General features: G+C 35.8%; 2 annotated features.

The window, feature by feature from the left end:
• Positions 331–1,033: an enhancer, noted in NCBI's record as "OCT4-NANOG-H3K4me1 hESC enhancer chr1:75548707-75549409 (GRCh37/hg19 assembly coordinates)". NCBI's record gives its function as "activates a minimal SCP1, AML or CMV promoter by ChIP-STARR-seq in naive H9 embryonic stem cells {active_cell/tissue: H9 hESC(naive)}" and the evidence as "EXISTENCE:reporter gene assay evidence [ECO:0000049][PMID:30033119]".
• Positions 1,034–1,736: an enhancer, noted in NCBI's record as "H3K4me1 hESC enhancer chr1:75548004-75548706 (GRCh37/hg19 assembly coordinates)". NCBI's record gives its function as "activates a minimal SCP1, AML or CMV promoter by ChIP-STARR-seq in primed H9 embryonic stem cells {active_cell/tissue: H9 hESC(primed)}" and the evidence as "EXISTENCE:reporter gene assay evidence [ECO:0000049][PMID:30033119]".

Below are 10,927 nucleotides of genomic sequence, written 5' to 3'. Positions count from 1 at the left end.
AATTATATGCTGAGGTTGCTAAGTTCTGTGGTAAGAATGAATCTTTTATCTGTGAAATTGTGGAGAAGAAAAAATAAATGTATGCTAGTTTTGCTGTTGCACATGAAACTGCAAAATGTATGGCTGTAGCGCATGATAACTGCTTAGGATGGAAAAAACATTAAATTTGTGGAAGACATGAACAGAAACATGTTCTGATTGACAGCAGTTGGGTTTTTTACTATCTGTGGTTTCAGGCGTCCACTGAGGTAATTACTTGAATTACCCCACACATACACTCTAATTACCCAACATGTTCACTCTAATTACCCCACACATGCACTAGGGGTCTTGGAACATATCTCCCTAGGATAAGGGGAACTACTGTAATATATATTTAGATTTATCAACACCTATAAGAAAATAGGAGACAACAAAAATCAACACAAAGTTAAAAGGATTGAGAATCACAAATGGTTTTTCTCTATAATCTCTTCTCACTTCGATGGTAAATGGAAGCCCTGTTGGAGTTTGGCTTCATTTTTAATTTTTCTTCTATGTGTGCAGTTTACTTAGACTCCTTTCTTCTTCAAATATATATTTTTTTCCTTGCCTGTAGGCCTGCAGAGGCAATCAAGGCTGAACAATAGGTGCCTTCTTATTTCAAGTGGGTAATTTGCATTTCTGAGGATCTCCTGACTGGATTAAACACATTTTACCAAGGCTTCTGCAACTCACAGGAATGTTTCTTCTAGAAATTTATCATCTTTAGCATCCTTCTTCTCTTTCACACTCCTAAGAAACAGAAGATACCTAAATTTGCACAAACTAATTGTTTTTGTTCCCTCTATTATACAGTTACTTGTAAATTCAGAACTGCTGAGTTAAAATTCTTTCCTGATTTTGATAGTTTGTATGAATCTTTTACTTAAAATGGAGCAGGCAAGCTATGAAATAGCAGGAAATTGGAATTTCAAAATCTTGCCCTTTGTATGCTCTGTGGTTTTGGGTCAATCACCTTGCCATTCTGAGCCTCAATTTCTTTTTGTAACATGAGGGATTACTACCCTTTAGGGCTCTAAGACCCAAACATTTCATGCAAAGGGTACCACTGACTAACCCTCCTTTCCTTTCTGCAATAAGGAAAGATAGTATATTTACCAAGTGTCAGCACATGACTGTAGATACAATGATACTGTATGATACATGGCCTTTGCCTTTGAAGAGCTCACCATTTACAGGAAGAGGCTGACATGCACATAAGTGCAATATGGTGGGATAATTGTAAATGAAGTACTTCAGGAGCAAGCTTTACCTTGGCGGTGGCATTTTGGTTGGATCTTGAAGAATGGAAAGGAATTCACTAACGAGTAGCATGTATAAAGAGGGGTATATTAGCATCTAAAATTTTTGTAGAGGAGGCAGAGCTTGCAGTGAAGACTCAGGGATGCTAGAGAGGTAAGAGGAAAAGCAAAAGAGACTATGTCCTGGAAGCCAAGGAAGAAGGCATCAAAGAAGTGCTTATCAGTCATGTCAGATGTCACTAACGGTCCTCTTAAGACCCAGGCCTGTTAGAACAGACAACAGAGTTAATTGGAGTCTTTGCTGAGGGTGCTTTCTCATGGAGTCAGATGGAGCAATGGGACAGAAAACATATTACAGTAGGCTTAGTGGTAAATATGAAGTAGAGACTGAAATTAGATGATTATTTTCAGAAACTTGTCTACTTGGTTGGGAGAGAAGGAAAGATACAATCAGTGAGATTTTAGGATCAAAGGAAAATTTTTGTCGTAAAGGAGAGACCACAATGTGTTTATCACTGAGGGAAAAGGGATAGAGAAGGTATAGTCAATGCAGGGTGAGAAAGAGATAAAAACCACTGACCTGCTGAAAATTCTCCACTCTGTTGACACACAAAGTTTTTTGAGGTCCAGCTGTTCTCCACTTCTCTAACTTTATCTCTAATTATCCCACACATGCACTTCAATTAAACAGCACAACTGAACTAAGGATATTTCCTTGAATGCTGTTGTATATGCTGCCCAGAATGCCTTTCTTTTATTTATTTATTTTATTTTTATTTTTATTTTTTTGGTCTGGATAATTTCTACTATACTTAAAGCCTTGTTCAGACCATCTCTTTCTCTGGGAAACCTTTCCTGGCATCCCTTACTCTTATCACCACCAAGGTTAGTCACTTCACTTTGAATTCCTTTAACATTCTTTGTAGGCTTTAATGTTATTAATCACATAATATTAAAATTTTATATTTATTTGTATGCCTCCTATAGGTGGTCAATACATGTTTATTAAGCAGCTTAAGGTAGTGGGAGGCCAAAACCTGGGTATGGTGCCTAATTGAACTTTCGCTGTGTTTCAGAGATCCTCGTTTACTTGAGCGTCTCTTTGTTCTCCACTTTTCCTCTAAAATAACTGCAGCCTTCTGGGTCATTAGCAAGAACTACTGGGATGCAGGTAGTTGGTACTTACATTGTTACTTCTTCCAAGGCCAAGACAGACACCACCAATGAATTATTGTACTTTCTCACAGAACCTGGAGGCTGTCTCTTTACATGGTAGCTATTATTAATGGATCAGGGTTGATGCTTGGGAAAAAACCATTTGCTGTTCTTAAATATCTTGTATCTTGCTTTTCTTAAAACTTTCCTACAACTATAATAGGAAACTTCCCTTCTTCTCTGAAACTGTGTTTCCTTGGCTTTCCAGGAATGTACCTCATCTCTTTCTTGTATGTATGATTCTCAAGCAACAAAACATGGATGGATTTTAATTTTTTTTAGTAATTTATGATAGGAATTATATATAAACAAATAATACTAAGCCCATGATTCAGATGAGGGGTTTGAGAATCACTAGCTTTTTTAGAAGAATTGCAGCAGTGAGGAATTAGTGGGTAGAAAGATTAAGGGGGAGAAAGATTACACTGTACCTACACGGAAAGATTGCATTACATAAACACAGAAAAAGATAAGGAGAATTAAGGAATTCAACTTCATCATTACTTTTTCCTTAAGCACTTGTTCTCCCTTCCTCACTTCATATTATATAATTCAGTTTAACAAAAATTTATTGAGTAGTTACATGTGCTAAGTACTGTACTAGGAATAGGAGATACAAAAAATGCATGACAGCCTTCAGGAAGTTTACAGTCTTATTATGGAAGGTGAGTGGTTTAATAAAGAATGTGAACAGGTATTAAGAACTAAGGCAGAGGGATACATAACATGGTAGTGGAAAACCTACTAATATAACTTGATCTAAATTGTCCAGCCGATTTAGCTGTGTTGATAGAATTTATGAAATTATTGGATTTTTTATTATTAATATTGAATCACGTTTGTATACAGGATGATTCCCTGGTACCTTGGGAATCATATGTGGCTAAGAGCTTATAGTCTTTGAATATACTCTTATGGACAAAACATTTATTATAAACAGAATGCATACTTATTTTCTGCGTGAGAAAGAAGTTAGAGTTCAGTAAGACTTAGGGATTAATTGATTTAGAAAATATTACTAACTTTTTTACCAATTACAAAGTCTGTATTTCTACAGACTTTGTTGAGTCTGTAGAATTGGTTTTTTATAAAAGTCAAAAGACAAACTTTATTTAGAAAATTAAACAAAAATGACCTCTCCCTACCCTGTTTACTCTTGACTCAAATCACAGCACAAGCATTAAAGAAAGCCTTGCTAAACTCATTGTATTCTCCGGTGAACATTAAAATTAACACCAATGTAAGTTTTATAAAAATAAGGAATAGAATGTTCACAGTAAACCTAAGGAAGATTCTGATACAGATAAGCCAAATGTTTCAATTTTGTTTTCAAATATAACGCTGCTACAACTTACTTGCAACATTATTCCTTGCATGCCAGGGCCTCCTAATTATTTCATCATGCAGCAGGAAATCCTGGTAGGTCATATATAAACAGCCTGAGGCAGGAACCTCTTCATCTGATAGAGCATGACATCTGACATGTGTGCAGCCTGCTGCTAGTCTGCCACAATTAACCAGGAAGTGCAGACATTAACTAATGCAAAGGCAACTGGGAGCTTGGGATAATGTGGAGTAGCAAAGGTCTTTCCTAATCCAATAAATTCCTATGAAGATGAAAAAGTGACAGCAAATGGGTGACAATTTTCTCGGGAATTGAACCTTTGTGGTCTTTTTCCTGACTTTTTCATGAAATAGCAAGGCATCTTTCTTATTTCTCCTCCCCTTCTACTTCTCGTATACACATAATTTCCCTTAACTTTGAGTGGGACTTAAGTGCACTTAGAGGTTACTGGATTTAGCACTTTCAGTGTGATTAATGCTTACTGCTAGGGTGGGGTGGGGGTGCCCTTTCTGGGCTTCACAAACTAAATGAAACCTAGAATGTAACCTCTATATAGAACGTGTTGAGGGATTGAGCCAGTATCTGCTTTATAGGCTGTTTCTATCAATAATTGTTTTTATTCTGTTTGGAGGCAAATGCTAAGGACAGTGGTGTGATATGCATTGCTAGGGATTTCATTGTATTGCCTGCTAAGAAAATGTACTTTTCACATTTTATTTTAGTGTTTTAAAGCTGTAGTAATTCATACCTTTATTAAGCAAATATTTACTGAGCACCTGCTGTGCTTGACCTAAGGCTGAAAGAGATATCTCTGCCCATGAATTTGGTCTATTGAAGGAGACTGGTTAGTGGCTTGTCACATAAACTAAGAAGTGATAAGGAGGAATTAGTTCATCTAATAAGAGGAGAGTAAGGAAAGTTAGCATGGAGGAGATGATATTTGATCTGTGCCTTGAGTGATGAGAAAGTTTTTTTTTGGTTTACAAAGTGAGGATGAGTGTTATAGAGTAAGTAACAAAAAAAAAAAAAGGCACTGCAGTATAGACGAGTCAGGGATGTTCCTGGGAACTCAACAGAGGATGTTTGAGAGAATGTAGGGAGGATTAATATTGTGGACACTTAGAATGTGTGGAGGTGAGTGGAAGGAGATTGGGCAAGAAAGTCCAGCACAGCTGAATTGCAAGGGACCCTAGGATCCATGCCAAAGAGTTATTGTACAGGCAGTGGTTAGTTTGATTTTTTTTTTAATTAAAGAAAAATTATTGCTGGAACTATACTTATAGATTGTCCTGGCAGAAGTCTGTAAAGTAGATTGGAGAAGGAAGAAGATTTGTGAGGAAGCCAGTTAGAAAGCTGTTTCAATAGGGACTCTCCACATTGATTTGTTGATTCCTTCAACAAATAAATACCTTAGAAGGATGAAAAAAAAGATGGCTTTGAATTTTAATGTTTTGGTATTTTAAATGGTACTGGTATGGCTTCATGCTTGATTTTGCTATCCCTTCTTTATTCTTACTCCCCTACCGATTCCCCATTTCTGTTCTCCATTTCAGAGCCATCTGAAACCAGAAATCACCGAAATCACACCCCTTTGAGGTTAAAGCTCTTGGCCAGCATTCCAACACTATCCAAGTTGAACTCTTTGAAGTCCATGCCTTGCTAATAATGATATAGCAGATATTTGTCCAAAATAATCACTAGTGGATTTGTATAGAAACATGCCTAACAGGCGAAGATTGGGAAATACATATGGTCAATTATAAATTAACTAAAAAAAAAACTGCACTGCAGGAACCCAATGAGAAGAAGTCTGTGACATTCAGAACAAACATACTGTATTAATTATTATTATTCATTCTGTATTGCCACAAGTGTACACAATACTACGTAAATGGTTGACAGAACTGGAGAAAGAATAATATCCTAGCCCTGGAATGCTTATAATTTATGTAAACACATCCTTTTATTTTGTTTTTCCAAGCCATATCTCTCTGAATTGTGATTCTGCTTATTTTGCTCATATTCATATTTCATCTCTGGTTCTCATATAAACTAAAAAATGAGTTGTCTTAGAAGGCACACATGTTTTTCCAAAATGATGATTCTCTTGCATAGGATTTGAACGGTCTCATTGGGAATTCTGAATAAAGAGCCATTCCTTGGTTGGGGTCCCCCTGTATATCTGAAATGAGAAAAGGGGAATATATTTAAGGCCCTTTGGAGATGAATGGTGCTGGAAGAGTAAAGTATTATTAGGAACTTTTCTTGGTAGACTATCAAAAGTCTTTGTGTTTGTAAGTGTTCCTTCTACTATGAAAATACAGAGGAAGCAAAGTTGAAGAGATTAGCACCAACATTTATTATTACCCAAATTGCTTGCTAGTTCTGCCTCCTGATCGCACTGTTAATTCATCAGGCTCATTAGTTTCCCACAGTATACATTCATGCTATATTATTGTTTTATTTAAACTTACCCATGAAAGATCTTTAAACTGGCTTAATTTAGAAGCTGATTGAGTGATTTACATGGCCTCTCAAGTTTTTGTTAAATAGCAATAAGCATTCCACAGACAGGCAAATTCAGTATTAACATGAATGTGACATTGGAGAAATTTCTGTTTTTATTGTAACTACAAATATTGCTTGTTTTACTACCCTTTATTTTACCATTTGAAAACATTTGAAAGACACAATTTAAACCTTGATACAAACTGTATTAGTCTTTGAAAAATTTCTCCTTAAAATCAGAAACAAAATTTGTGACTAAATTTGGAAACTCTAATTTGAAGATCCTGTATAATATGATTGAAATTCATATATACTTCCTGATATGAAATACCAACATTTATAAAAATAAAGGGGAGGCCAGGAAGATAAGTTTGTTTTAATTCCCCAATATTAATAAGGGCCCTTCTCTGTGTGAGGCATTATACTAGGCACTATTGATACCAGGTTGAATAAAACAGACATATTCCCAGAATCTGTGCGTGTGAATAATGTAAACTGACAATCACAATACTTTGTGGAAGTGTTTTAATATGACAAGTACAGAATAGACTGTGAGATCCTTTTTTAGGACTCTAAACTCATACTTAATTAGGAAGGACTTCCTAGAGAAAATGAGGTCTATGTAGCGATTTGAAAAATTAGAGTTAGGTGAAAGTCAGGGGTGGGAGTTAAAAGTAGATTCTAGGTAGGGGAATAGAAAAGTCTAGAGGCAGGTGAATTTCTAGTAAGAGTCTAGAATTGAAAGTAATCCAGTATGGCTTGAGCTTAGATTGCAGAGATGGAGCAGGAGGAGTAAAGCAAACTAAACAAAAGTTAAATTATTCAGCATCATGTAAGTCAAGATAATGTACTTGTACCATATACTAGAACTAAAACAGAGGTTCCTAATTTGTGTTCCATGGCCTTGTAGGGAGTCATGAATGAGATTCAGGGAATTGCTTGTGAAAATTTTTTGCATAAACAAATTCTGAAAGGGTCCTGACAAGCCACTCTCCTTGTTAAGAACAAAAATCTCCTCCTTGATGTTTGTCCCCAACCAACACACATAACTATCTGTGTAATGCTGTCAACTGGACTTTGACAACCTTATTCATTCACACATTCATATGTTCAACCCAGTTATGGAATTTTTCATAAACAAGAGATACAGTGGTGAAAGAGAGAAAACAGACTCCTAGAAGAGGAAGACAAGAAATAAATAACAAATAAATGAGTAAATTTCATAGTAGTAAGCATTATAAAAAAACTAAAATAAAAGACTCTGATAGAGAAGAAGGCTTCCCTGAAGAGGTGACGTTTGAGCTAAAAATTGGCAAGAAACTGAAATAGCAAGTGCAAAGGCCCTGACACTGAATTGGTTTGATGTGTTTGCTGAGTAGAAAGAAGGCCAGTGTTGCTGCAGTATAGTTAGTTGTGGGGAGAGTAGTACAAAGTAGGATGACACTGGAGATTGGGCCAAGAATCAGGTCATGTAGGTCATGGTCAGGAATTTGAATTTTATTTCAGTGCCATAGGAAATCATTGAAAGAATTTAGCAGTATCATTACATGATCTGATTTATGTTAAGGAGAGAAGAAAGAAGTAGGAAAGGTAAGAGTAGACAAAGGGAGACTAGTTAGCAATCTTTTGCAGTAGTTTAGATGAGAGATAATGTCTTGAGGGTGACAGTAATGGAAATGAAGATTAGTATATAAACTTGAGATGAATTTTGGCATCATACACAGCTGCCTGCATATTTGGAGTGGTGCCAAATTACAATGGATAAGATTATTTAAATACAAATGTCTTTAAAAGGAAAATATCAGAGGTGTTTCAACAAAATTACTTTTAAGGTTCTGTCTGACAAAATGAAGTTAGGATATATGAGTTCAAATCTTAACCCCGTCATTTATGACCTTAGGCCAACCAGTCATTTTACTCTTCTGGGGTTGATTTTATCATCTAAAAAAGGAAGCTAATAAAATGTGAAAGCACCTGCTACCACGTAAATTTTGTTTAGTTTTTTAAAAGAACGGTCAACAATTTCAGCAACTACCAAATCATCATTGACAATGGGTAGCAGAAAAAGGAGATAAGAAGAAGATCCAGAGGGCAAAAAAGTCATTTTTCCCAGAAATGAAATTGCTACCTTTTAAAAATCATGTCTGATCCTTTTTGAAAATGTGTTTTCAGGACCCCATTAAGCATGGTTTTAACCATTCCTTTTGTTTCTCTATTCAGAACTCCATACACACAAGCTAGGCAGTGAGATTTTCAATTCCATGTAAACAATGTAGCCTGGCTTCTGAAAATTAATTCTGCATATATTACATGCATTGATATTCAAATATTCACACGAACTTCACAGCAAGCTACAGTGATTATGACCTCCACAATCACCTTAATTGCTCAGCCCTTCTCCAGGAGTATGCCCGGGAGTCACTGAGGATGAGCTCAGTCTTTTGTGTATTTACAAATCATTTCCTCTTTTTTCTGTTTTCTGTGAAAACTGCAGTTAAAAGTAACTCTAGGAAGCAGGTTTGGGGTGGGGGAGTAGAATAGTCTTGAAAAGCTTTAATTAGATACCTGCTTTGTGAAAACGAGGAACTCACATTGTTTGTGGTTTTAATTTAAAAACTGAGCTATCTTTTGCTCTCTTACCTTAAGCAGCTAGGTCAGTGTTCAGTAAAACTGTGGCTTAGTTACTGTTGTTTATAGAAACTGGAGTTCTTTGTCATACTGCCATACTGGTATAAAACCAAACAAAACCAGGCTTTTGTTATTCTCTTGGTATAGTAACAAGGCTCTTGAATTGGATGTGGGGTGACTTGAGCGGGGAGCTGGGGGTGGGGTGCAACATTTGAGGGCATACATAAACTTTCCCAGTTGGAAAGTCCTATGTTCTCAGTCTGCCTCCAGAATCCTGTGAATGAATTTAACAAAGCTGCATAGTGAAAACTGAGCTGGAAGGAACCTGCTGGAAATAAGTCAACTTTTCAGAAATCTTAAAAGAATACAAATTATTTGGGGGAAATTACTTTTAGGTTGTGTCTGTGAATATAATATGACTAGTATTTAGATAACTTGGGCCAGTGACTTTGTAGAAAAGAGCAAAGTAAAATAAAGATTTTGAATATTATTTTGATTATTCTCCATATGGCTGCTCAGATGTTGATGTATTTTAAGAAGAAAAACCCTGAATCTGTTCACCTGAGCTTTCTGCACTGCTAGAATATTCCTCTGATACTAGTGCAGGAAATCTTTCTGTAAAGTAAAATACTACAGTAAGCAAAGTGTGCCCTAAAGGAGATACTGCTCCTACTTTTTTGATGTGTCTCCTTTTGTTGTCTTACCCTACAACATTCTAAAATTTTTTGAAAAGTAAAATGACTCTCATATGAATATAAAAATGAACACCTGTTAAAGATTTTATTTAACTCATTCAATGAGGGACCAGAGAAATGTCATAACTGGCTAAAAGAGAATCTGTAAAACAGGCAGATTTATAGATCAGGAATACTGAAATAAACATGCAAATGAGGGTGAAATAGTTTTTTTCCCACAGGATGGGAAGGGAAGTCTATTAAATCTCTACCCGAAAGGACATAATTTGTATCTTTATCAATTACCTGCATTTTAAAGTTGTAAAATGGCTCAAAGACAATGAAAGACTAAAATCGGACAACCCGGAATAGTGTCTTCCAGACAATGCATAGTTTTCCATTGAAGATCAAAATTTCTTCTGCATTTTTTCTTTCATGTTTTCCTACTTACTGTTCATTCACGGCATAGAGCAAGTATACTTACTGTATATACTTATGAAGTAAGTATGACAAGTAAACATTATCTGGAGTGCTATCTTTGATCAATTGACAATGGCTGCCTGGAGCCTTTGGTTTGGCAAGAAAAAGTGCCACATAGATTTGCAATATCTGTCACGGGCAATAGAGTAGTGAGTAGTGGCATTTGTAGCAAATATTTGCCACTCTGTTATTATAGTCCTCTATATAAGTCAGTTTACGGAATGTCATCTGTAAACTAACTTACCCTGAGATATCATTGTGTTACTGCTTCCAGGACCGTTTACATTGAAAAAGGAGAAAGACAATTGGAGGAAAATATTTGATTGCCTTTTAAAAATTTACGTGTATGATATTGTATACTCTGGAAAGGTTCAAATGTCAAAAAACTTTCAGCATTACAAAATGGTACACAGTGAAAACTTAAGTCTCCCACTGCTGCTTATTCATTCCTGTTTCTCTTAATGATGTAACTACTGGTTAGGTTCCTCTGTTTCTCTTAATAATTATGACTACTGATTACTGGTTTCTTATGTATCCTTCAAGAGATATTACATCCAAAGATTGGACACAAAGTCCATTGCATGTTACTAGAAACTATTTGTTTGGTCCTATCCAGTCTTTGTATAGATTTAAACTCATCTACATGGTCTGCTTGATCACTTTTTCTGTGAATTTAATTGTAAGTAATTAAAGTGATCTATCTCATAGTTGTTTTTAGGTCTTCAACTGTTAAATGGAGTCCCTACACATGAGACTGTGAAATAAATTTCTGAGGTGTACTGTGAAATAAATTT

The sequence above is a fragment of the Homo sapiens genome, chromosome 1 (assembly GCF_000001405.40).
Source record: "Homo sapiens chromosome 1, GRCh38.p14 Primary Assembly".
Classification (NCBI taxonomy): domain Eukaryota; kingdom Metazoa; phylum Chordata; class Mammalia; order Primates; family Hominidae; genus Homo; species Homo sapiens.
Note: the sequence above shows the minus strand (reverse complement) of the source record. Positions and strands in the feature narration are given on the sequence as shown.